A 24,982-nucleotide genomic window follows, 5' to 3' on the forward strand; every position below is an offset into this window, starting at 1 on the left:
GCACCGGGCCTGTTTTGCTGTTATATAAACAGGGCTTCAATGAACATGCTTGGACTTTTCTCTGAACCCATTATTAGGGCATATACTTAGAAAGCTAGGATTGTCGGGCAGGCACACTTTGAAGTTGACTAGTACTGCCAAACTGCTCTCTACAGCGTCTGAACCAATTGATCCTCTCACCACCAGCGTTTGTACAAGACATCCTGTTTTACCACATCCTTGCCAACTTTTGCTCTTGTTAGACTTATGTTTGCCAATCTGATAGGCATGAAGTGGCATCTCATTTGAAGCTGCATTCCCTGCCTATGAGGCTGAGCATCTTATTCTCATTGACCATGTGGGTTTCCTCTAGGCAAATCACTTATGTTCATATCCTTTGCTATCCTATTGTAGTTTTCGGTGCAAGTTACAACAGAAAGCCCAACTAGAAGGGGTTTAAGCAAAAAGGAACGTTTATTAGCTCACGTAACAAGAAGTCCTGGGGGTGGTTAATTCAGAGGCCTGGCTGTGACATCAAGGACCAGGTTCTTTTTGTCTTTTTCCAACACCCTCTCATTGTGTTGATTTGCCTCTTAGACTGGCTCCCTCATGGTCCCAAGATGGCTGCCTTAACTCTCTTGTGCAGACAACAACGTCAGAGACCGAAGAAACTGGATGCTTTCTTATTAGTCTCTTTCCCAGGGGTCCCCACCAGGAGACCTTCCAGAATTGCATAAACGTCCACACCTAAACCAATCATTGACCAGAGGAACTAAATTAGCATGCTATATTTAGACCAATCATCATTCACCTGATGGGGTTGAGGAAGGCCGAGCCTCCCACAAAGCCCAAACACCTGAATCAGAATGGGGTTCTGATTATCAAGGAAGAAGGAAGGGATGCTATTTGGAGTGGCACAAAAAATGTCTGTCCTTACTACTTGATGAGTACCTTGAAAGAAAAAAATAGGCCAGGTTTGGTGGCTCACACCTGTAATCTTGGCATTTTGGGAGGCCAAGGTGGGAAGACTGCTTGAGCCCAGGAGTTTCAGACAAGGCTGAGCAACATGGTGAGACCCCATCTCTACCAAATATATATATATGTTATATATATGTGATATATATAGATATATATGTTATATATATGTTATGTATATATGTCATATATATATGTTTTATATATATATTAGCCGGGCATAGTGGCATGTGCCTGTAGTCACAGCTACTTGGGAGGCTGATGTGGAAAGATCACTTGAGCCTGGAGGGGCAGAGGTTGCAGTGAGCCGAGGTTGTGTCACTGCATTCCAGCCTGAGCGACAGAGCGAGACCCTGTTTCAAAAAAAAAAAAAAAAGAAGAAATAAAAATAAAATAAAAGTTCTGTCTTTTCCATATTGATTCCTAATTCCTAGGAGGTTTTTTTTTTTTTTTTTCAGATGGAGTTTCGCTCTTGTTGCCCAGGCTAGAGTGGGATGGCGCAATCTTGGCTCACCGCAACATCTGCCTCCCAGGTTCAAGCAATTCTCCTGCCTCAGCCTCCCAAGTAGCTGGGATTACAGGTGCGCACCACCACACCCAGCTAATTTTGTAGATTCCTAGGAGGTCTGTATATTCTGAATGCTAACCCTTTATCTGTTGTGTATGCTGTCACCATTGCCACCTAGGCTGCTCCTTGTCTCTTAACTTTCTTTGTAATATCATTTTCATAGCAGAGGGCTTTTGGGGGGTAATGTAATAAAAATCGGCTGATCTTTTTTGAGTGTGTCTCTTGTCTAAGAAATGCTTTCCTACCCTTAGGTCTCCTACATTTTCTCCTAATTATTTTAAAGTTTTGTTTTTCACTTTTAGGTCTTTAATCCATCTGGAATTCATATTTATGGATGGTGTGAAGATTTTTCATAGGAAAAGCCAATTGTCACAACACATTTTACTGAAGTCTATTCTTTCTCACTGAGTTGCAGTGCCGCCACTATCATAAATCACATTCCCACATATACTTGGATCTGTTTCTGGGCACTCTATTCTATTGATTCCTTTGTCTAGCCCGGCACCGATACCACATTGTTTTAATTACTATCGCTTTCAAAAAAGTCTTGGTATTTGTTAGGGCCAGGTCTCTTTCCTTATTCTTTTTCAGAACTGTCTACTTTTTTCTTGGGTCTTTGCTCTTCTCTATGAATTTTAGAATCAGTTTGCCTAGCCCTGTGAAAAATCCTGTTGGAATATTTATTGGACCTGCAATGAATCAACAGATTAACGTGGAGAGAATCGTCTTCATAACATGGAGGCATCTCATACTTAACCTAATACTTCTCTATGGCTCTCCATTTATTACTATTGTAGCCTATGTTTTACTTCCTAAATATCTTGCAATGTGTTTTGTAATTTTTTTCTGGGTTTTGTACAATTTTAATTTTATTGTGAATGATTTCTTTTTGAAAGATACTACAATTTCTAATAAACTATTGCTAGTGCGTAGAAACACTGCTGAATTTTATATGGTTTTTTGTATTTGGATGTTGACATTTGTCCAGCATGACTTCACTTAATCACTCTAATAATATGCCCGTAGAATCTCTTGATTTTCCATATAAATAATCATGCTGTCTACAGATGTCAGAGACTTTTGCCTCTTATTTTCCTAACCCTTCTTTTTTAAATTTTTTTTTTTGAGACGGAGTCTCGCTCTGTCACCCAGGCTGGAGTGCAATGGCGTGATCTCAACTCACTGCAACCTCTGCCTCCCGGGTTCAAGAGATTCTCCTGCCTCAGCCTCCTGATTAGCTGGGATTACAGGTGCCCACCACGACGCCCAGCTAATTATTTTTAGTAGAGATGGGGTTTCACCATGTTGGCCAGGCTGGTCTGGAACTCCTGATCTCGTGATCTACCCACCTCGGCCTCCCAAAGTGCTGGGATTACAGGTGTGAGCCCCCGTGCCTGGTCTTATTTTCCTAATCCTTCTATCAGTGAATGGTGGCTTCTAAATCTGACCTTTTCCAGCTCTTGGGCTGTGCCTGTGGGCTGGCCCTGGGCAGCTATTACCTTGCACTGTCAGTTATAAATAAATAAAACACCCTTACTTTCTCCAGAGCTTTACAGTTTGCAAAGCGCTTTCGCTTCCATTATCTCATTGATCCTTCTTACCCCCACTTGATGGAATGGGAGTGTCTGGGTGGAAACGGTCCAGGGCTCCGTGTCCAGAGATCCAGCTGTGCAGCCATAGTGCCGAGGCACCTCGGACAGTCCCTCCTCTTCTCTCTTACTCCTGTAATCTAACGTTTGGCCGGGAATGGTCCCTGGCATTCCAACTCATGTGTGATGGATTTGGGCGGTCAGAGGCTCACGGAACGCTTTGAGGGCTGAAATCCACCGATAAAAAGGCGGGGGATTCTGGGTACATTTAGGTCTCCAGGCTGGTATCCCAAAATGTCTGGGGGGATATGGAAATGTCCTTGGAAGTCGGAGGCTTGATACAGATGGTGGGATGGGTGGAGGTGGGATGGGGAAGAGATCATTATGTCCAGCCCCCTGCCTCCGTGCGGCTTCTCCTCCCCCTGTAGATTAGAGCGTTTTCTGGGTCGGGAAGGGGAGGACGAGATGGAGCTCGTGGCCTTGGGTTCCCTCCTGCGTCGCCCCCTGTAACTGCGTCCCCCAGCACGCACTGCTGACGCGCATCCCCAGCCCGGGGCGGCGCGCTCCGCAGGCATCCCGCCCCCGACTCCCGCTCCGTCCCAACATCGCGCAGGCGCAAGACCGGGCTGGCGCCAGCGAACGCGCCCTCTCGTGGCGGACTGGCCAGGTCGCAGTCTTTGTTGTTGCGCTGGAGGCGGCGTACGGGACAGGGGAGAAAGATGTGGGTGGAGTCTGGGAGGCAGATGCGAGAATCAGATCACAATGACGAGAAGCCCTTTCCTTTGTCCCTCACGGCAACGTATAGATGCAGATAAAGAAAACACGGCCTCAGACCTCAAGAGACTTAGAGACAGGTGCACAGAAACTGAAGCTGAATGAGACACACTGGACAGCAGTCATTCGTTCATTCAGCAAACATTCACTGGGATGGGGAGATACAGGGACAAAGGACCAGAGGGCTTACATTTAGGCACTGGTGGGCAGAGACGGGGCAGAAAGCTGGAGAGACGGATGCGGATGTCAAAAAGGCCAGGACAGAGAAGCGACTAGCTCAGGACAGGGCTGGGCCGCAGGAGTGAGGCGGAGGCCGGGGAAGTACCGGCGGAGCCTAGGGCACGGCAAGGGCACCAGCTGTGCGAGGTGGGGTACGAGCCCCGACCCCTCCAGCTCTCCTGACCGACGCCCCAACTGGGGATGACAAAACGGAGAGCTAAAGATAGGCAATGTGAGCACCAGAAGGGACCCTAGTTGCAATGGACTGAAGCAGTCAGATAGGTGTAAACCATGTATCATCATTCTACTACTACCAAAGAAGCTCGGACTGGCCAGAGTTTGGAGGATGCTAGGGAAACAGCTCTTTATTCAGAAACTGTTTAATACAGGAAGAGTCCAGCGTTTCTCCCGTCTTCCTTTTACGAACTTTCCCACTCAGTAACCAAATCGCAAGGGGCAGTTTCTGTCTATAATTATTCCAGCTAATAAAGGAAGGGGTGATCAGAGTGATCAAATCTGAATATCACTATTCTGCACACACACAAAAAATAAAACGCTAATGGCGGAGGCAAGACACTACTAAGACCACAGAAACGCATGATGTGCCTTCAAATGGAAGAACACTGTCACCACCTATGAAGTGGTCTCAACGAAGGAAATTGAACATAAACCTTATAAGGCCTCTAGATCCAACTACAAATTACAGTAACAATGTACAGGAAATACAACGTACAGGAAGTATGGAGGTGGGAGGAACATGTTAAAGATCACCATAGAGATGCAATCAGCAAAATCCAGAGGGCAAAAAACTACAGAAGAAATTTTCTGGCTCCTTCAAGGAACGAGAAAGAGAAGGGAGGGAGGGAAGGAAGGAAGGAAGGAAGGAAGGAGAGGGAGGGAGGGAAGGAAGGAAGAAAGGAGGGAGGGAGGGAGGGAAGGAAGGAAGAAAGGAGGGAGGGAGGGAGAGAAGGAAGAAGAAGGAGGGAGGGAGGGAGAGAAGGAAGAAGAAGGAGGGAGGGAGGGAAGGAAGGAAGGAGGGAGGAAAGGAAGGAAAGTATGAAGGAAGGAAGGAAGGAAGGGAGGAAGGAAAAAAGAGAGAGAAAGGATGTATGGGAACCTATAGATTTGAAGAAATTTAAAAGAGCCTTGGCCAGGCACAGTGGCTCACGCCCGTAATCTCAGCACTTTGTGAGGCCAAGGTGGGTGGATCACTTGAGGTCAGGAGTTTGAGACCAGCCTGGCCAACATGGTGAAACCCCTGGGCATGGTGGCACGTGCCTGTAGGCTGAGGCAGGAGAATTGCTTGAATCTGGGAGGTGGAGGTGGCAGTGAGCCGAGATCATGGCACTGCACTCCAACCCGGGTGACAGAGCGAGACTCTGTCTCAAAAAAAAAAAAAAAAAAAGCCCTATAAATCATCAATCAGTTGCAATGTGTGTATCTTCTTTGTATCTTGAGTCAAACAAATACACTGTAAAAATATGTATGTTTATGAGAAATTGGTAATTTGAACACTAGAAGTTTGATATTAAGGAATTTTATTGATGATGTTAATAGCTGAACGTGTTATGTGATTATGTTAAAAAGAGTCATTATCATTTAAAGATACACACTGAAATATTGATGGATGAAATTAATCAGGAGGGGTACAGATGAAACTAGACTGGCCATGAGTTGATAATTGTTGAAGCCAGGTGACAGATACACGGGGGCTTATTATAGTATGCTGCAAATTTTTCAAACTAAGAAGTTTAAAGACCCTGTGACCTCCCTTCCCACCCCTAGGCCCAATAGACAGAAGGTGCTGTGTGTTACAAGCAGCAGGTTGCAATCCAGACAGCTCTGAGTGGGAAGGTCCTCTGATGGCTGAGGGGCCTGAGAAGGGTTTCTGGGGACTTTCTGGCTTGTGGGACAGTCCCTGGCTCCCTTGAATTGGGCAGGGAGGATCTGATGGGGAAGTAGCTGCAGCTTTTCATTAAGGAAGGCTGGCCTCTGTGGGCCTGGTGACACTGGGGCCAGGCACTGCTACCTTAAGACAGCTGAGTGGGTGGCTCCAAAAATAGCCAGGGGGACGGCAGGGGGCGGGGAGTCACATGGAGAAGCTCAGGGGTGAGGCTGGGCAGGTGCCCAGGGGGTTGGCACTTCTGCCTGCTCCCCCAGAACCCTTGGGCTCTTCCTCTGCCTCCAGAACCTTTCTTCCTCCCTCCCTCTGTCTCTGAGAAGACAGAGAGATGGCCAGGTGATGCTGGGACAAATACTGCCTTGCCTGAGGGGACGCTGACTCTGGAATTTGGTGGCTCTCCAGGGATGAGCGGGTCAGTCAGGTGGAGAGAGAGAGAGGAAGGGACAAGGACTGCGTAACCTGCCTACCAGTCACCCCATCTGCAGGCCAACACCTGTGCCCTTAGGCTGGACCCAAGTGATCCTTGCCTGGGGTATTTTGTTGTCCTTTTGAGGCCCTGGAGGAGAGGTCACACAGGCACCAAGGATTTGGGAACCCTGGCAGCCATAGGTCCCCGCCCCCTTCTCAGGGCACCTGGGGAGAGTGCCCCTGTGCCTGCCCTAAGTGAGAGACCTGGGGAGAGGACACCGCGCCCCATCGCCCCTGGACTGAGATCCTTTGGCAGAGGCAAGAAGGAAGGGGAAGCAGGGCCGGGCAAGTACATCAGCAGCACAGTCATCGACTGAGCCAGGCACTGGGCTAAGCCGTCCACATGCATTCTACTCATCAGCAATGTGGCCTTGGGGAAGGTATACACCCCTGTGCCTCAGTTTTATCATCTGTTAAATGGGCACAGTAATAATACCTGCCTCATGGAACTGCTGAGGAGATGGAATGAGGTAATATAGGTAGATATATGTAAGATTCTCAGCACAGTAGCTGGCAGCGCTAGCTGGTATTACCCACTGGCAGGTGACCTCCATGTGGGCAGAGGTTTGCTTATCTTTGCAATTTCAATGTCTGATACATAGCAGGTGTTTCATAAATATGCGCTGCATTCATTACTTTGTGGAGTCCTCACAATGATGCCAAGAGGCAAGCACTATTCTTGCCAGTTTATAGTTGTGGAAATGGGCTAGAGGGCAAATGGTGCACTCAAGGCCTCATCCCCAGCAAGTGGCCAAGGTGGCCCACCTCCAGGCCTCCAAGTCTATGCGCCGAATGAACCCTGACTCCATGGGCCAGAGAGGGTGCCTCCTCCGCTCACCTGTCTCTAGCTGGCTGGTCCTGTCCAGGGCTTGCTAGACCTCCACGCTGAAGTGCTTGGACTGGGGATAAAGGCTGGGTGGATGGCACCTACGTTTGCTGTTAAGGAAGCTGCCGCCAGCCAGCTACACCTACTAGTTACCAGGCCCTGTGCCAGGCCCAAGGATACAAACGTGACAAGATCCTAGTCTTCGAGGAGCTTGGAGCAGTCTGTGTGATTGTGTTGTGCCCAGGAAAGCACGCAGGGGCTAAGGGGACACCCAGCTTGGCCTAGCAGAAGAAGGGAGGTCAGAAAGGCTTCAGAGAGGAGAGGACATCTGTGCAGAGTCTGGAAAGGTGACTGGAAGGTTGCTGCTTGAATGAAGGTGGGAAGGGAACTGCAGGCAGAGGCAATAGCCTGGACGACGGCTTGGAGACTTGAGAGAGTCTGCCAAGCTAGGCAGGAGCGGAGTGAGGCTGAGCAGGGGCCTGGGGTTGGAAGGGTAGGGGCAGAGGATGGGATTCTAGACCAGCTGACCAGGTTCAGGACAGGCCAGAAAGCCACCAACTGGGGATGAGCTGGGAACTCAGGGGCCATGAGAACCATTAGAGTTTTAAGGGAGGATGGAGGTGGCCTGGTTGGTGGTTTAAAAAACACTGTGGCCACTGGAGGGGACGGTTGGAGGGACAATGAGTGCGAGGAGGGTGTCTATCCCAGATTTGGTGCATGCTCCAGGCGGGGAGGGGAGGCTGACGCTGGGACCCAGCTGCCCCGAGCCACCTCCCTCCTTCCCTCCTCTCCTCCCTGCCCCCTGTCTCTGTCACTCACCGGGCGGGCCAGGCCGGGCAGCCATGGCTGAGACACTCTTCTGGACTCCTCTCCTCGTGGGCAAGTTGGGGCCTTGTTCAGCGGGGAGGCCCAGGATGAGGGGGCAGGATTTAGGGGTGGTAAGACGGAGGTGTGGAGGGCCCACAGAAGAGGGATCTGGGTTGGGTGAGGCAGGCGCCAGAAGGGCTTTGGGGTGTTAATGCCATGGCCAGCTGGGGATCCAGGGAATGGGGCTGGGAGCTGGGCTCTGGGATGAAGGGGCTGGGAGCTCTGAGGGCTGGAGGTGTCCTAGGGCCCGGGTGGGTCTGACAGCACAGGCCCAAAGGGTCGTGGGCCCTTTAATGAGCTGGCTGGGCCGCAGCTTCTAAGCCCAGGCTAAATTTGGCCCTGGGAGGGAGGGTGGAGCTGGCGGCCAGGTCCTCTGCTCCTCTCTTGGACTTAGGATTCCTTTTGCTCAGCTCCTACTGGCCTCTAGGGCAGGCCTTCTTCTTCCCTGTATTTTAGGGGAGGAAGGTGGGGGTCTCCAGGCCCAGAATGGCTACCCTTCCTCCTCTGTAGGCTCCTGGCCCCGTCTTCCTCTCCTCTGGGCTCTTGGGCATTTAGCATGGGATTCTTTTCCCAGTGCCTTTCACACATACACACCCTCACACACACACACACCCACACACACCCTCACACACACCCTCACGGCACCCTCACACACACACCCTCACACACACCCTCACACACCCTCACACACCCTCACACACACACCCTCACACACCCTCACACACCCTCACACACACACCCTCACACACACCGTCACACACACACCCCACACACCGTCACACACACCCCCCACACACACCCCCACATACCCCCACATACCCCCACACACCCCCCGCAAACACACACCCCCCACACACACCTTCACACACACACACCCTCACACACACCCTCTCACACACACTCACTTGCACACACACCCTCACACACATCCTCACAGACCCTCACACATACCTTCACACACACACCCCCCCACATCCCCTCACACACACACACACCCTCACACACACACTTCCCAGTCAAACATCAGTCCCTGCCCACTGCACCATTAATAGGGGCCTAAAACAAGGAATGGAAAGGTTGTGGGAGAGGTTCTCCCTCGAATCCCGAAACCCAGACGATTAAAATGTCTAGCCCAGCAGGGCTTGCTCCCCCATCCCCACCCCAATCCCTTCCTGGGAGGCAGCAAAGGAAGCGCTTCTCTCGGTCCCTTAGGGGCTCCAAGGACTTGGTGGGGAAGGGAGCTTATCCCCTGCCCAGGACTGAGGCTGGCCTGTGTGTTTGGGACTTGTGGGGTCCCCACAGTTCTCCTGGCAGGGCTGGGGGACACCGAGGCCCAGCAGACCACGCTACACCCACTTGTGGGCCGTGTCTTTGTGCACACCTTGGACCATGAGACGTTTCTGAGCCTTCCTGAGCATGTCGGTGAGCGGCCTGACAGGCACCCAGGCGGGCGGGCTGGGGTGTACCCCGCAGGGCTCCTGCTGTGACTCGAATCCCCTCTCCTCGCTTCCACCAGCTGTCCCACCCGCTGTCCACATCACCTACCACGCCCACCTCCAGGGACACCCAGACCTGCCCCGGTGGCTCCGCTACACCCAGCGCAGCCCCCACCACCCTGGCTTCCTCTACGGCTCTGCCACCCCAGAAGATCGTGGGCTCCAGGTCATTGAGGTGCCGTCAGGGACCCTGAGAAAATCACAGGGGTGGGCCAGAGTGGCCTCCTAGGAGCAGCCCTATGAATTGGGATTGGGTGCTCATTCACAGTCATTTACATATAATTTACATACCTCTAATTTGGTATCTGAGTCCTCTCCTGCCAGGCCCCCGCTGTGCCACGTTTCTCCCCTAACCCACTTCTCAGATGTCTTTCCCATCCCCCAGGTCACAGCCTACAATCGGGACAGCTTTGATACCACTCGGCAGAGGCTGGTGCTGGAGATTGGGGACCCAGAAGGTACCTCTAGCTGTGCCCCATCCCTTCCCCACCAATGCCAGTCTTGGGGAATCTCTCCCGGAGGGGGAGGGGGCTGTGGACAGGAGAGGCTTGGAGAGGAGTGGAGCAGGGCATCCTGGAAAGTGGGGACAAGGCTCTCAGGGAATGGGTGCTGGGCTGGGATTCCAGGCTCTGGAGTTCTGTTACTCGCTGCGTTGCAGAGACTATTGGGACTTGGCTTGTTGGGGTCTGTGATGGATGGGGCATTGAGGGGCCTGAAGGGGTGTGCAGGGATGTGGGGAGGAGCTTCAAGGAGGCTTTGCGGGGCAGAGCTGGGGCTGGGTGCAGCCTGAGGTGTCCACCTGGCCTTCCCAGGCCCCCTGCTGCCATACCAAGCCGAGTTCCTGGTGCGCAGCCACGATGCGGAGGAGGTGCTGCCCTCAACACCTGCCAGCCGCTTCCTCTCAGCCTTGGGGGGACTCTGGGAGCCCGGAGAGCTTCAGCTGCTCAACGTCACCTCTGCCTTGGACCGTGGGGGCCGTGTCCCCCTTCCCATTGAGGGCCGAAAAGAAGGGTAGGTGTGCAACCCTAGAGGACTTCCTGAAAGAGGAGGATGCAGCTTGTGGCGGGCATAGAACAAGGGTCTCCCTAATTTCCAGGTGGGGCTTTACCACGCACATCTCCACCTCCCAGCTTCACACCCCTCACCACTCTCCTCTGGCTATACCCGCATCTCCTTGTCCTTCCAGAGCCTAGACCCTAGTTACCCTGAACTCTGTACTTCCTGGTGCCTCATGAGGACGTACCAGATACATCCATTAAAAGACATTCCTTAGTAGGGAGGGTAAGACCCCCTAGAAGAATGGGGTGCCCTGTGTACTCTCACCATGATCTCAGATCTCTGGGAGGACTGTGACTCCTGCCAGACCCCAGCTGTGCCATGTTCCTCCCTTAATCCTCCCTCTTAGGCGTCTCCCTCATCCCATCCCCAGGTCATAGCCTACAATTAGGAAAGTTTCAACAACCCCTGGCAGAGTGGTGCCTCGTGCCCCCTGCCCCCACTCTGCTGACAGTGACTTCTATCTGGTCCCAGGGTATACATTAAGGTGGGTTCTGCCTCACCTTTTTCTACTTGCCTGAAGATGGTGGCATCCCCCGATAGCCACGCCCGCTGTGCCCAGGGCCAGCCTCCACTTCTGTCTTGCTACGACACCTTGGCACCCCACTTCCGCGTTGACTGGTGCAATGTGACCCTGGTGAGGAGGGACCCTGGGTCCGGGGGTGGGGTGGGGCATGGCCCCCATCCCAGTCCCCCTTCCCTCCCATGCTGCTTCCTATCTCCGTCTCTCTGATTGCTCCAGTCACCATTTCTTTCCCTGATGCTCTCAGTATTGCCCACAGGCTTAGTCTGAGGATACACACACACACACACACACACACACACACACCCCTGAAGTTCTACCTTTCCCCCACAAGAGGGCAACAGAGTCCGCAATCCGCATGTGGGGTCTCCAACTCCCGCGCCCCAGATCTGCCCAGGTCAACAGCTATATCACAGTCCAGTTCCCAAACCCTTTCCCTACCAAGGGCCTCTGCGTGACAGCTCTGTCTGCTTTTCTGTAAGGTGCCACCTAGCAAACCCACTTACAACAAGGATCTGATAGCTCTTCACACTATAAACCAAAGATGCTCACAACAGCTCTTTGGATACTGAGCTGAGGTTCACAGGATCCCACGGCTGGTGTACACTGTTCCTGTGAATTGACCAACAGAGCAGGGACTCATTCAGGGTCCACAGCCAGCGACTGGTAATTGACAACATTCTTGAGCACTTGCTATGTGCTTGGCACTGTCCCATCAACATATTTTATGCTCACCACCACTCCAGGAGACAGGTGCTACTATTATCCTTCTGACATTACAGGTGATGAAACAGAGGCACATAATCATCCTAGCTAAGCACTTGTCTGAGTCTGGATTCAAACCAGGAGGTCAGACCCTAGAGCTGTGCGCTAACCAGTGCACTGTCCCGCCTCTGCTGGACTTTGTGTCTCCTGCCTCCTAGTCCTGGCCCCTGCCATGTTCCTGGGGACCTCTGTGTCCAGCCAGCCACTTCCTGCGTCAGCCCTGAGCTCTCTGTGCAGGTGGATAAGTCAGTGCCGGAGCCTGCAGATGAGGTGCCCACCCCAGGTGATGGGATCCTGGAGCATGACCCGTTCTTCTGCCCACCCACTGAGGCCCCAGACCGTGACTTCTTGGTGGATGCTCTGGTCACCCTCCTGGTGCCCCTGCTGGTGGCCCTGCTTCTCACCTTGCTGCTGGCCTATGTCATGTGCTGCCGGCGGGAGGGAAGGTGAATGTGGGCATGAAGGGCGGGGGAGCACCTGCTGGAGCTCACACCCATGGGACTCACAGTGGCACTTGTGCTGTATGGGACCCAGACACCATGGGAATGGGGTTCTCAGGCACAAAAGGAGTGTGGGGCCCCTTTCTAGGCAACTTGGGGCTTGAGACCTGCCTGGCCTGGCACCAGGAGGGCATTGTGGATAATTGCACACAGACCTCCACTCACATTGGAGCCCTGGGGCACCTTGGGGCGAAACCCAGAGCTGGGCTAACCCTCTCCTTCACTTTTCCACAGGCTGAAGAGAGACCTGGCTACCTCCGAGTGAGTAAAGGAAAGCTGGGGGTGGGGTGGGAGCCCACCTAGACAGTTGTTGGACCCCGCCACCAAACTATGCCATGAACAGCAGAGACAAAATAAATAACTCCAGGGTGATGCTCACCCCTTCCCTTGACCTCTGTAATCCCAGCACTTTGGGAGGCTGAGGTGGGAGGATTGGTTGAGCCTGGAAGTTTGAGGCCAGCCTGGGCAACACAGTGAGACCCCATCTCAACAAAAAAAAAATTTTTTAACTAGCCAGGCGTGGTGGAGCATGCCTGTGGTCCCAGCTACTTGGGAGGCTGAGATAGGAGAATCGCTTGAGCCTGGGAGATTGAGGCTGCAGTGAGCCGTAATCGTGCCACGGCACTCCAGCCTGGGCGACAGAGTGAAACTCTTTCCCCCAAAAAAGAAAAGCCTGTTGTGACACAGGGGAATGGGACCTGCTGCCACTCTGGGGGAAAGGGCTTGAGAAGCAACTTAAGAGACTCCCAGTATCAGTATGAGTCAGACACCTGCGGTCCAGGCCAGGCTCTGCCACACAATTACTCTGTCACCCTTCTTTCTGGCTTCAGATGCTCCACCTGCAAGATCACGAGGTTGGACTAGCTGGTGTCTATGAGTGCTTCCAATTCTGCCAGCCCTTTCCAAATCCTTCCTCTCTTATTTTGGCCTGGTTTCCCCTACTCATGGCCTTACCCCTCCTATGTGCCCCCAGCCCTCTTCCTCTCCCAATACCCTGAACCCTAGATTCCAGGAGGCAGATGTGAAATAAGTTATGTTCCTTTTATTCCCACTGCACTGAGCCAATGGCGGTCTTGGCACCCCTGACTGCTTGCCTGGCCTGCCTCATTAATTGCAGTGGCACTTGGCCACCCTTCGAACCCCCTTGATAAGCCGCTTGTGCCCCTGTTTGGAGCCCAGTAGTGACCTGTGCTGTCCAAAGGGGCGCTGCCCAGAGCGCCACCTCTGCTGTCGTTGCCTCTTGACCTTGAGCTTGGACTTGGAGGCCTGCTTCTTGCCCAGGGTGAAGGAGCCTGAGGCCCCCCTGCCGGTCACCTGCTGAGCCCTTGTCCACCAGCCCCTTGAGCACACGCTTGAAGTGATAGGCATTTCGGGCCATGTCGTAGCCCGTGGTGGAAACAGCCTTCTTCAGGGTGGCCAGGGACACATACTTGCAGGTCCCCTTGTCCGCCACAGCCCTCAGGATCACCTTGGACGTGCTGGGCTTCTGGCAGGGTTTGGCACAGGTGCGTTGCCCAGTCGCTGTCTTGCTAGGGACACGCTGCCCTGCTGGCCTCCACCCATGGCAGTATTTGAGTTCAACAGCACTGATGGAGACAGTGGCGAAGTGCCTTTCTGCTTCTCTCCCTGGGGTAGGTGAAGTGTCTTGGGTGCAAGGACCTCCAGGGCGGCTGGAAGTCTCCACTGGGCTGCCCCTCACAGGATGGCTGAGGTGTGTCCCGGTTCCTGGTCCTCGCTGAGGCTTCCTCTTGAGCTCCGGCCCTCACCTTTACCTGTGTGGCCAGAAAGAGGATCAAGGACGGTCACCCACGGCTGGCCTCCACAGACTTGTGCTCTTGGTGCAGGGGTTGGTGAGGTTATCTCTGTGGTGACCTCAGAGGCTACCAGAATTCTGTGTGGGTCACAGTGGCCCCATTGTTTCCTCCGGGGAGGGGTGGACCGGAGATGCCAGATGGTGGAGGCATGTAACATGCCAGGTGTCCTGGGGAGGAGGGCTGCGCTTGTGGGCCAGACAGCGGGCCTGCACGGTGCGTGCACATATGCATGTGTGTGTGCACATGCCTGGGCGGATTTTATTTTTTAAAAAATTTTTAGAGAGAGGGTCTCACTTTGTCACCCAAGCTGGAGCACAGTGGCATAATCATAGCTCACTGCAACCTCAGACTCCCTGGGCTCAAGCGATCCTCCCATCTCAGCTTCCTGAGTAGCTGGGACTAAAGCTACTGCACCTGGCCTGGCCCCCAGTTTTAAACTCACCATTTTGATCCCACCATCTTGACCCACTGGGTTTTTGAGCCACTGGGTTGAAGAATACAAGCTTTGCAGGCATCAGGGTTATACCAACATTTATGAATTTTTATGGGGAATATAGTTTCCAAAGTGAACAGAGATGTACGCTAAGTTGACTTACGCTAAGTTGACTTAATTCCTCAAGCAACTTTCTATACAAAGCAGTTAAAAGGCTTTGCTTTTATTTTCTGTTTTCAATTTTATAGAATTTTTCCCCATGGGGATCAGTGATTTTTCATGTACATTTCACTAGGAAGATTTTATTCCTCAATTTTTTTGGACTGAACCAAATTTAAACACTAACATCTACTGGCACTGGGGATATTCTCTTGTGACCAGTATTTCCTCCACATCCAGCCTTCCCCGGGTCAACTCTGTAGCTCTGATGTTGTCAGAAAAATCTGCTGCCTCAGTCAATGTGAAATCAATAACCGTTTTACCATGTGCAACGTTAGCCTTGGCTGGTTTGGATTTCACGTTGATGTATTTCTACAAAATCCAATTTTTCACTTGTTCAATGTCTGCCACTTTTCAGATTATCCACAAGTTATGATTCTGCTGCCTGCTTTTCACCTAGATCAGATTTCAGCGGTCACAGAGTCCTCCAGGCCCCACGACCCTCTCCTGGGGATTTCTGTGCCAGAGGCAGTGCTTTCGGGACTGTGTGTTGGTGGTGGAGTGGGTGTGGGTGAGACCTAGGCCACGTGTGTGTGTGTCTGTGCGTGTGCCTGAGTGTGTAGGAATGCCTGCCGTTTGTCTGTCTGCCCAAGTGCTGATGTGGAAGGACCGTGGGGAAGCCACTGCGGGGTCTGGCCTCTGCTCTTGCTCTAGAAAAACATCCCCAGCACATTTTTCCACCTGTGTGTTGCCAGAGTAATGAGGTCCAGATGTGGGGCTGGGAATAAGGAGGGGGCCCACTGACTGAGGCCTTCCTCTGCCAGGGCCTCACCTGCCCAGCTGTCTCTATCTCAGCATCCACACACTGGTTGCTTTCTTTCCCCTCAGTCTCCCCTTGCCTGGGAATAGAAAATTGGGTTTCGGACAACTCAGCTCACTGAATTCCAGACTCAAGAGCTCATCTTGACCCTCCCCTGGCCTTAGATGGTGACTCCACCTCTTCCTGCTGGCCTCCCCGCAGGAGGAGCATGGCCCATTCAGCGTGAAGCTAGGTCTTTTCTGCAGTCTAAACTGTCAGGCTCTAACCGGAGTCTGTGTCCACTAATTGGGACCTGAACATGGGTGGGGATCACTTCTCCTCCCTCATCTCATCAGTAACCAAGTGGCAAGTGGGGTCGCTTCAGCCCTGCCTGGGGCCCCAGCTCCTCTAAGAAAACCAATTCTTGGCTGGGTGCAGTGGCTCATGCCTGTAATCCCAGCACTTTGGGAGGCAGAGGCAGGAGGGTCCCTTGAGGCCAGGAGTTCAAGACCAGCCTGAACAACATAGTAAGACACCTGTCTCTACAAAAAAAATTTTAAATTAGCCGAGCATGGTGGCTTGCACTTATAGTCCCAGTTACTCAGGAGGCTGAGGCAGGAGTATCGCTTGAGCCCAGGAGGTAGAGGCTGCAGTGAGCTACGATTGTGCCACTGCACTGAAGTTGGCGACAAAGTGAGACCCCATCTCTTAAAAATAAATAAATAATATAAAAACATAATATAAAGCTCAGCAAACACTGGCTTCTGGAAGAATATGGCCCCTGTGGATGTCTATTCATGTCTCCATATCTTGTGAGCGCTTATCACGTGGTGGGCACTGTTGTAAACACTCAGCCACATTTTCTCTTTCAATCTTCACAGCAGTCCTAGGAGGTAGGTTTTGGTTTTTTTTTTTAAATAGAGATGGGGTTTCACCATGTTGGTCAGGCTGGCCTTGAACTCTTGGCCTCAAGTGATCCACCCGCTTCGGCCTCCCGAAGTGCTGGGATTACAGGTGTGAGCCACTGCGCCCGGCCTGGTGGTAGGTGTTATTATCTCCATTTGGCCGTTGAGCAAACTAAGGCATGGAGTGGTTAAGCAACTTGCCCAAGACACACAGCCTTGAACCCAGGCTGTCTACACCCACAGCCTATGTCTTGACCACTGGGCACTGAGCAGGCACCATAGAGCTTTCTTTTTTTTGTTTTTTTTCTTCTTTTTTTTACTTTGAGATGGAGTCTCTTGCGATCTCAGCTCACTGCAACCTCCGCCTCCCAGGTTCAAGTGAATCTCCTGCCTCAGCCTCCTGAGTAGCTGGGATTACAGGTGCCCACCACCACACCTGGCTAATTTTTATTTTTATTTTTTGTAGAAACAGGGTTTCACCGTGTTGGCCAGGCTGGTCTCGAACTCCTGACCTCAAGTGATCTGCCTGCCTTGGCCTCCCAAAGTGCTGGGATTATAGGCATGAGCCACCACGCCCGGCCCCATAGAGCTTTCTGTTTGTTTTCTGCCCCTGCATCATGTGTCTGAGTCTCTCCCCACATAAGTGGTGGGGAGGACCGCAGGGTGGCTCAGAGGCAGTTCCAGGCTGTACTCCAGGGCAGCTGACTCCCAGAGCTGATGACTCCCCACCTGTGCCTCCAGCATCCAGATGGTCCACCACTGCACCATCCACGGGAACACAGAGGAGCTGCGGCAGATGGCGGCCAGCCGCGAGGTGCCCCGGCCACTCTCCACCCTGCCCATGTTCAATGTGCACACAGGTGAGCGGCTGCCTCCCCGCGTGGACAGCGCCCAGGTGCCCCTCATTCTGGACCAGCACTGACAGCCTAGCCAGGTAGGTCTGGTGGGTGATGCCAGCCTTATTTCTGGGAACAAGATGGCCTTTATCACAAGGCTGGGGCAAATGGTGGGGTCTGGGAGAGGTCAGGGGAAGAGGCACATAGACTTGTCTGCCCCTCTGAGGCCGCTGCTGGGGGTCCTCACCAGTGCCAGGGCTATGACCCCAATGCCAAGCACTCGCAGTTGGAGTGTCAGGGTGGGGAAGTCAGGAGAACCAGCATCTGGCCCTCTCAGCCCTCCACTCTCTCTTCCCACAGTGGTTCCAGGTCCAGCCCTGACTTCATCCTCCCTTCTCTGTCCACACCACGAGTGGCACATCCCACCTGCTGATTCCAGCTCCTGGCCCTCCTGGAACCCAGGCTCTAAACAAGCAGGGAGAGGGGGTGGGGTGGGGTGAGAGTGTGTGGAGTAAGGACATTCAGAATAAATATCTGCTGCTCTGCTCACCAATTGCTGCTGGCAGCCTCTCCCGTCCTCACTGGCTCTGTTTCCCTTTGTGCTTTCTGGGAGGCCCCATAGGCAGCCAGTGCCTGCCGGCCTGCCCTTTGGACTCTTGGCATTTTGCTGTTTTCTCAAATTCTCTGGAAGAAAGAGGGAAGGACCTGCTATCTGTAGCCCTCCCACGAACCTGGTAGTGAGGTATGCCTGGATCACTATCCCCATTTCACAGACAAGGAAACAGAGACCAAGGGAGAGTCAGTGACTTACCCAAGGCTACAGAACAAGCAAGTGGCAAAGCTTGAATTTGACCCTGGCACTTCTGCCTCCACCCTGCCTTCTACAGGGTTGAGGGGTTCTGGAAGCAGGAAATCCAGACCCTTACCTGTAGATTTCTTTGGCACCTCAAGATTCCCTGGAAGGAGAGTCCCTCTGTCTGTTGTGTTTGGAGAGAAGCCAATCTAGATATGGAGAGCGAGGCCGGGCGTGGTGGCTTACACCTGTAATCCCAGCACTTTGGGAGGCCAAAACAGGCAGATCACTTGAGGTCAGTAGTTCGAGACCAGCCTGGCCAACATAGTGAAACCCCATCTCTACTAAAAATACAAAAATTAGCCAGGCATGGTGGCACGTACCTGTAATCCCTGCTACTCGGGAGGCTGAGGCAGGAGAATCACTTGAACCCAGGAGGTGGAGTTGCAGTGAGCCGAGATCACACCACTGCATTCCAGCCTGGGTGACAGAGCAAAACTCTGTCTCAAAAAAAAAAAAAAAAAAAAAAAGATATGGAAAGAGGGAGGTTGGAATGCGGGTCCCGGAATGCCCTAGGCTCAAGGACTACCCCCCGCCTTGCTGAGCTCCTCCAGAGATGGGCAGGGGTGCAGAGGACACAGCACAGCCTGGGACCCTTGTTGGACTGAGTGGTGCTAGCACAGCTTGACCCCACACGAGCTCAGAAGAGCTCAGCTGGCCATGAGAAGGCCTGAGCTTGTTTTTCCCAGGTGGACACAACCAAATGGGGCCGATTCTGCCCCGATCACTGCCATCTGGCCATGTCCAGGCTCATATACTCCCACTCCCACGTGAGGACAGGCCAGGGACTCAGCCCGAGAGGGGCCCGGCTAAAAGAGGGATAGCTGGCAAGGCCCTCCCCTAGTGGCAACTCCGAGAGAACACAGACAAGGGCTGGCATCACCACTCCAGCCTCCTTCTCCTTTTCCTCTGCTGGGAGGCCCTGGCTCCCACATCCACACAACTAGCCCCTCACTGCAGGTTCTGTCTTTGCCCAAAGGGCACCTCCTCAGAGAGGCCTTCCCTGTCCCCGCTGTGGTCCCACTGCGGTCCCACTGCCTGCCCTGCGAGGCCTTCCTGCTCTCTGAGAGGATTCGCGCTGTCTCGGCTCACATATTCCGAGTCCTCTTCCGCACTAGAACATACGATTCTTTCAGCCTGCAGCAGGTGCAGTGCCTGCACACAGTGAGTGCTCAGGAAGGATGTTCTGAAGGAAGGCATGAAGGGATACCATGTGTCTGGGTTTGCTCAGCGTTCTTTCTTTTAGAGCCAGGGTCTCACTACATTGCCCACGCTGGTCCCGAACTCCTGGCCTCAAGTGGTCCTCTTGCCTCAGCCTCCTGAGTAGCTGGGATGACCGCTGTGAGCTACCGTTCCTGTGCTCAGTGTTCTTAAGGAGGTTGCTCCCCTTCTCAGGGCACAGGGGTTGAGCAAGGCCATGGCTAAAGCTTCTTCCATTATCTCCTGAGCCTCCCTGTACCCATTAGTTAGTCAATCAACTCATCAAACACTGGTTTCGTGAGCATCTGCTGAGGCAGGCTGAGGTGTAGTGTACGTGCTTAATAATTGCCTGTTGAATGACTAGCTCTTTAGGTGCCCACGCCATAACCAAACGGGTTCTTTGACTAGCGGGTGCCTCTGGCTTCTCCTTGGCTATTTCTTTCTTTCTCCTGAAGGAAACCAGGAGTTGCGCAGACCGGAGGCTCCAGCAGCCAGCCTGCTGCCTGGGGTGGCTCCTTGATCCCTGCTCCCTTGAGGAGGAGGCTGCCCACCCCTCATCTCTGGGCTCGCCCCCTGCAGCCAGGCAGCTCTTGGGCCTCCTGTGCTCTTCCTGTGCTGGCCAGGGCTGGGAGAGTGCAAGGCCAGCTCCTCACTTCCCGGCTTTGCCTTGGGGTCTTGGCAGCGCCTTTCTCTCTGCTCAGCTCCAAAGAGCACACGGGAGCCTGGCTGCCGGCCTGAGAGGAAGCGGCCCAGACAAGTAGCTGGGAGGATGGCGTGCCTGCAGAAGACGCTGAGCCCTGCCTGGGCACACACGTCCAGAGGCCCCCGGCAGCATGCCGGGAGGGCACAGACATACTTAGCGCCTCCCCACTGGGCAACAGCCCCTCCCTGGCGTGCAAGATTCCAGCCAGCAGTCAAGCTCCACCCCCCACAGCCCAGGACAAAGAAGGGCAGCCGCCCCCACCGCCACCTCCACCGGGAGACTTGGCCCAGCTGCACACTCTGCTCCACCCCTGTCTCCTCCAGTCCCATGATGGCATTGCCCCTGTTACCCAGTGGGTGGCCTCCACCTTCCTTCTAAACACAGCACCCACACGTGGCCTGACGCTCAGACATTCCCTCACCACCTCTCTATCAGCCAGACCTGGTGACTCAAGTCGCCACCTAGGGCCGGCCTCAGCCCCCTGCTGCACGCTGCCCCGGAGCAGGACTGGAATCATGATCCTGCCACACAACAGCTGGCTCAGCCAGCTGAGGGTTAGTTTACTCATAAGATGATCATCATAACCGCCTTGGGGCTGTTGTGAGAATTTGTGGGAACTGGACACTCTGGCAGCTCCCAAGGATGGACACATTATTGCATGCAAGCACACACAATCCCACAAGGCCAGAGGTCCCTGGGGTCTCCCTGGCCCCTAAGATTCAGGCTAAATGAACTCCATTTCCACCTGCACCTTGTAAAAAGTTCAATCTCTCCCTGTGAATTGGGAGTGGAAGCCTAAATTTGTATGATCTTTGGTACGGAACTGCTGCCTAGAGCTGCACCATCCAGTACAGCAGCCTCAGGCCATGTGGCTACTGAGCACTTAAGATGTGGCTAGTCCAAACTGAGATGTACCTCAGTGTAATGGTGAAACGATCGGATTTGGGGATACATTAGGTTAAATAAAAGACATTGCTAAAATTAGTTTTACCTGTAGATACTTATTTATTCTTTTGAGATGAGGTCTCATTATGTTGCCCAGGCTGGAGTGCAGTGGCATGACCATAGCTTACTGTTACCTCAAACTCAAGTGATCTTCCTGCCTCAGCCACCAAGTAGCTAGGATTACAGGCACTCACCACCACATCTGGCTAATTTTTGCAATTTTTTTTGTAGAGATAGGGTCTCACTGTGTTGCCCAGGCTGGTCTCAAACTCCTGGCCTCAAGGGATCCTCCTGCATCAGCCTCCCGAGTAGCTAGGACATGCACTACAGCACCAGCCTTTTTATCTTTTTTTTTTTTTTTTTTCAGATGGAGTCTTGCTCCATTGCCCAGGCTGGAGTGCAGTGGCGCTATCCTGGCTCACTGCAACCTCCACCTCCCTGGTTCAAGCAATTTCCCTGCCTCAGCCTCCCGAGTAGCTGGGACTACAGGCGCACACCACCAGGCCCAGCTAATTTTTTTTTTGTATTTTTAGTAGAGACAGGATTTCACCATGTTGGCCAGACTGGTCACAAACTCCTGACCTCAGGCAATACGCCCGCCTCGGCCTCCCAAAGTGCTGGGATTAGAGGCGTGAGCCACCGCCCCCAGCCCTTTTTATCTTTTTTTAAATGGCTGCTAGATCATAAAAAATTACATCCGCACCTTGGGTTGTATCTTTATTGGGCTGTGCTGGTTTCATGGCTCTTCCTGTATCTCCATCCCAGATTAACTCACACCCAGAACTCAGCCCCTTTCCCTGCTTTCTACAGAACACCTGCTCTCCTAGGCCTCCGTGAACTCAGCAGCGAAGCCCTGGCCTGCGGGCAGAGTTTGCCCCACAGCAGTGAATTCATCCAGAACTTGCACGTGTATGTGGCCTCCCTCTCTAAAATGTTTTAGTCCCCATCATGGTTCTCTGTCCCTTCTCATTCAGTACCCCCTTCCCAGTTCCTCCCACTGTCTTTTGCAGAGAAAATCCCACTTTCTCCAGCATTAGCATGTGCCAAACTCACCTCCCTCCTGGCCTTGCCTTGCACATCCTCTGCAAAGGGTTGAAATCTCTGCATGGGGAGGGCCTGCCACCCTCCTGGACAAGACCCCTCCTGCTTCCAGGATCTTGCCTCCCTGACTGTGGACATGCCCTCGGCCTGACTTGATACCCTCTGGAGCGCACACAGGGGAAGGGGACAGGGAGACTCAGCCTTCCCAGCACCAGGGCTCCCACTGGCTGGGGGACTTCAGGAGAGTGGTCTCCTCCCACACCGAGCCCCCACTAATTTTTCCCACACTCCTCTCTGCTCCCCCGCCCCATTCATCCATATCACACAGACAGACCCTCCTATGCCCTCTGTCATGCCCATGTACACATATGTCCCAAATGCCACAGTCCATGTGTTCTCACAGTTCACACAGGGTTGCTTTCACTGCCATACGTGTGGGGAAGCTGCCCTCATCATGCACAGATGCCCGCCCACCCCAACCCACACACATACATGTGTATAGGCCCCTGTGAACACAGATACATTTATTTGTGCACAGGTAGGTGGGCACAGACAGTGAGACACATTCTCATCACCAGGCACCCCCAGGAGACAGAGACCCCTTGGTGGCACTCACCTTGCTCCCTCAGACGCCATCGCAGGCCTCCTCGTGTGGACGCTGGGCTTGACGGCAGCCTCGCATTCTTTCCCACGCGGCCCACGCTCACGCCTGCTCCACACACAGTCTCCTCACCCCAGCCGGCAAGCTTTCTTGCAACCCCTCTCCTCCTCCACCCACCCAGCTCTGTCATTGGAGAAAGTCTGGGAAGCTGAGAGTTAAGGTGCTGGGGAAAAAAAAAAAAAAGGAGGGAAAATCTACTGTATTCCGGTGATAGAAAATCCTGCCAGGAGATGGGGCTTAGGTCCCAAAAGGGACCCAGGATTCTGAGATTGCAGCAGAAATTAAAAATCCAAATGAAGCCTCCTCCCTTTCTAGAATTTTCCATCTGGGCTTGACTGAAAAATCAGCCAAAAATCAGGAGCCTGGTCCTTCTCACAGAGAAGACAAAGGTGAGTCTGACAGAGCGGCAGGCTCTGTGACACCCTGCAGGAGATAGTGAGGGTCTCGGGGAGCGGGTCTGGGTGGCTGTATTTAGGGCGGCTGTGATGTCAGCGGAAAGGAGGGTTTGAGTTGGGAATGTGGCACAATGGCCCCTTTGTCCCCCTCCCCTCCTGTCCTGTACACACTGAAACCACACACCGGCCCCACACCACGTGATGCAGGCTCAGAGCTGCCCATGGGGCACTGCCACACAAGGCTGCCCCCGCTGCAGCCCTGACCCACAGTGCGTGTGTCCACATACATGCCCACGCGTGTGCACACACACCCACGTACCCACATGTAGATTTGTACAGAGGTGACAAGAGGCATATTCACTCCTTTGCCTACAGCTCTGCTGCCCCGTATGGTAACCCTTATCCCACATATAGTTAGTAAAACTAATTGCAATTCAGTAAAAGTGGAAACTGCATTCCTCAGTCACACTAACTGCATCTCACATGCTCAACAGCTGCATGTGGTTAGCGGCTACCGCACTGGGCGGTGCAGCTCTAGGACATGTCTGTTGCTGCAGAAAGCCCTGCCCTGCGCCCTCCGTTGCTGTCTGCTCCCCCATGGGCCTTCCACTTGCTCTTCCTCTCACACTCGCTCACTCCTGTGCACCAAGCACACACAGCGCCATGCTCTCACCTAATGGGTGGCCTCTCTAGCTCAGTCTCTCTCTCTTTAGTCTCCCCAGTACCTAAGCACAGACTCTGCCTAGCCCTGCATTGCAACACCTGGCCTCTAGTCTGGAGAGAATAACAGGATGGAAACATGACCACATCCACAATCCTAGGATGAAGGACCGAGGGGAGCTATGTGGATCTGGAGAGCTTTGGAAACTCAGAGGGGCTGAGCTCAGGCTGGGTTGGGCAAGGGAATGGGAAGAGAATGAGACATTTGAGCATGGCCCGGACAGTAGGGTGTTGAGCATGCAGAGAGAAAGGACATCTAGAAGGCCTGGAAGTGGGGAAATGCAGTGCATTTGTGAGAACTGTTGGCCACCCTTTTTGGTTGGTGTGACAGATGTGGGCAGGGGAGGGGACAGTGAGCCTGGGCAGGTGGGTAGTGGCCAGGTAGAGCCTTGGATGCCAGGCTCAGGATGTCCCTGGGTCCCCCACGAGGGCAGATGGGGATGTGGCCTGGACAGCCAGGGTCCTAAAGTCCCAGAGGTCCAAGTGGACAGGGTTTCCTGGGCAGCATGGCAGGCATCACCAAGCAATCAACACATTGATCAAGAGATGGAGCCTGGTGCTGTGGCTCATGTCCGCAATCCCAGCACTTTGAGAGGCTGAGGCAGGTGGATCACTTGAGGCCAGGAGTTCGAGACCAGGCTGGCTAACATGGTAAAACCCTGACTCTACTAAAAATATAAAAATTAGCTGGGCGTGGTAGTGCATGGCTGTCATCCCAGTTACTTGGGAGGCTGAGGCATGAGAATTGCTTGAACCTGGGAGGCGGAGGTTGCAGTGAGCTGAGACTGCGCCACCGCACTCCAGCCTGGGTGACAGAGTGAGACTCTGTCTCAAAAAAAAGAGAGAAAGAGAGATGGATAGGCATCACACAACTTTGGGTAATTTGCATATGAATAAGCCTTCATTTATATGCCATCATTCTTATCCTCTCTACACTGATTCCCTTTCTACACTGTCCTAAGTGTGGTAGAAGTGCTAATGATGAATTATTGAAGGCCATAATGAACGGC

At 53.2% G+C, this 24,982-nt stretch overlaps 1 protein-coding gene, 2 long non-coding RNA genes and 1 pseudogene across 11 annotated transcripts in view, besides 8 other annotated features; 2 read left to right on the forward strand and 2 right to left on the reverse strand.

Annotated features, from left to right (window-relative positions):
• The window catches only part of LOC124904025 (uncharacterized), an 11,623-nt gene extending 9,163 nt beyond the window's left edge, over positions 1 to 2,460 (forward strand). The window contains exons 2-3 of the long non-coding RNA XR_007065841.1: positions 1,413 to 1,535; positions 1,825 to 2,460. This is a non-coding gene — a long non-coding RNA (uncharacterized LOC124904025). The remainder of the gene's footprint in view (positions 1 to 1,412; positions 1,536 to 1,824) is intronic.
• Positions 435 to 8,460, reverse strand: LOC105371818 (uncharacterized). Of its 5 annotated transcripts, none has more exons than XR_934833.3 (4): positions 8,121 to 8,460; positions 7,314 to 7,582; positions 3,124 to 3,251; positions 435 to 726 (listed from the first exon to the last, which is right to left on the reverse strand). It is a non-coding gene; the product is annotated as an uncharacterized LOC105371818 (long non-coding RNA). The 5 variants fall into 5 exon arrangements; XR_934832.3 differs by having other exon boundaries at positions 3,124 to 3,409; XR_007065839.1 differs by lacking the exons at positions 435 to 726; positions 3,124 to 3,251 and having other exon boundaries at positions 4,443 to 7,402; positions 7,482 to 7,582.
• Positions 3,486 to 3,565: a silencer, noted in NCBI's record as "silent region_8687". NCBI's record gives its function as "represses an Ori minimal core promoter by ATAC-STARR-seq in GM12878 lymphoblastoid cells {active_cell/tissue: GM12878}" and the evidence as "EXISTENCE:reporter gene assay evidence [ECO:0000049][PMID:35858748]".
• Positions 3,591 to 3,885: an enhancer, noted in NCBI's record as "tiled region #13843; HepG2 Activating DNase unmatched - State 4:PromP, and K562 Activating DNase unmatched - State 1:Tss". NCBI's record gives its function as "activates a minimal TATA promoter and a strong SV40 promoter by Sharpr-MPRA in HepG2 and K562 cells {active_cell/tissue: HepG2 | K562}" and the evidence as "EXISTENCE:reporter gene assay evidence [ECO:0000049][PMID:27701403]".
• Positions 3,596 to 3,835: a silencer, noted in NCBI's record as "silent region_8688". NCBI's record gives its function as "represses an Ori minimal core promoter by ATAC-STARR-seq in GM12878 lymphoblastoid cells {active_cell/tissue: GM12878}" and the evidence as "EXISTENCE:reporter gene assay evidence [ECO:0000049][PMID:35858748]".
• Positions 5,702 to 6,202: an enhancer, noted in NCBI's record as "H3K4me1 hESC enhancer chr17:48240960-48241460 (GRCh37/hg19 assembly coordinates)". NCBI's record gives its function as "activates a minimal SCP1, AML or CMV promoter by ChIP-STARR-seq in naive H9 embryonic stem cells {active_cell/tissue: H9 hESC(naive)}" and the evidence as "EXISTENCE:reporter gene assay evidence [ECO:0000049][PMID:30033119]".
• Positions 8,108 to 18,031, forward strand: SGCA (sarcoglycan alpha). Of its 3 annotated transcripts, NM_000023.4 has the most exons (10): positions 8,108 to 8,180; positions 9,471 to 9,590; positions 9,685 to 9,839; positions 10,050 to 10,122; positions 10,477 to 10,675; positions 11,195 to 11,357; positions 12,246 to 12,454; positions 12,743 to 12,769; positions 17,360 to 17,552; positions 17,815 to 18,031. In NM_000023.4, exons 1-9 carry the CDS (start codon positions 8,144 to 8,146, stop codon positions 17,538 to 17,540), a joined length of 1,164 nt encoding a protein of 387 aa, NP_000014.1. In that variant the 5' UTR covers positions 8,108 to 8,143; the 3' UTR covers positions 17,541 to 17,552; positions 17,815 to 18,031. The 3 variants fall into 3 exon arrangements, 2 of the variants coding, with proteins under 2 accessions (NP_000014.1, NP_001129169.1); NR_135553.2 differs by lacking the exon at positions 12,246 to 12,454; NM_001135697.3 differs by lacking the exons at positions 11,195 to 11,357; positions 12,246 to 12,454.
• Positions 13,531 to 14,579, reverse strand: H1-9P (H1.9 linker histone, pseudogene; annotated as a pseudogene). 2 transcript variants are annotated; one of them, NR_024192.1, is made up of 2 exons: positions 14,281 to 14,579; positions 13,531 to 14,134 (listed from the first exon to the last, which is right to left on the reverse strand). The product of NR_024192.1 is annotated as a H1.9 linker histone, pseudogene, transcript variant 2 (transcript). The 2 variants fall into 2 exon arrangements; NR_024193.1 differs by having other exon boundaries at positions 13,531 to 14,579.
• Positions 16,956 to 17,557: an enhancer, noted in NCBI's record as "H3K4me1 hESC enhancer chr17:48252214-48252815 (GRCh37/hg19 assembly coordinates)". NCBI's record gives its function as "activates a minimal SCP1, AML or CMV promoter by ChIP-STARR-seq in primed H9 embryonic stem cells {active_cell/tissue: H9 hESC(primed)}" and the evidence as "EXISTENCE:reporter gene assay evidence [ECO:0000049][PMID:30033119]".
• Positions 17,851 to 18,145: an enhancer, noted in NCBI's record as "tiled region #9980; HepG2 Activating DNase matched - State 4:PromP". NCBI's record gives its function as "activates a minimal TATA promoter and a strong SV40 promoter by Sharpr-MPRA in HepG2 cells {active_cell/tissue: HepG2}" and the evidence as "EXISTENCE:reporter gene assay evidence [ECO:0000049][PMID:27701403]".
• Positions 23,271 to 23,565: an enhancer, noted in NCBI's record as "tiled region #10059; HepG2 Activating DNase matched - State 4:PromP". NCBI's record gives its function as "activates a minimal TATA promoter and a strong SV40 promoter by Sharpr-MPRA in HepG2 cells {active_cell/tissue: HepG2}" and the evidence as "EXISTENCE:reporter gene assay evidence [ECO:0000049][PMID:27701403]".
• Positions 24,025 to 24,920: an enhancer, noted in NCBI's record as "H3K4me1 hESC enhancer chr17:48259283-48260178 (GRCh37/hg19 assembly coordinates)". NCBI's record gives its function as "activates a minimal SCP1, AML or CMV promoter by ChIP-STARR-seq in naive H9 embryonic stem cells {active_cell/tissue: H9 hESC(naive)}" and the evidence as "EXISTENCE:reporter gene assay evidence [ECO:0000049][PMID:30033119]".

Source organism: Homo sapiens, chromosome 17 (genome assembly GCF_000001405.40).
Source record: "Homo sapiens chromosome 17, GRCh38.p14 Primary Assembly".
NCBI lineage: Eukaryota > Metazoa > Chordata > Mammalia > Primates > Hominidae > Homo > Homo sapiens.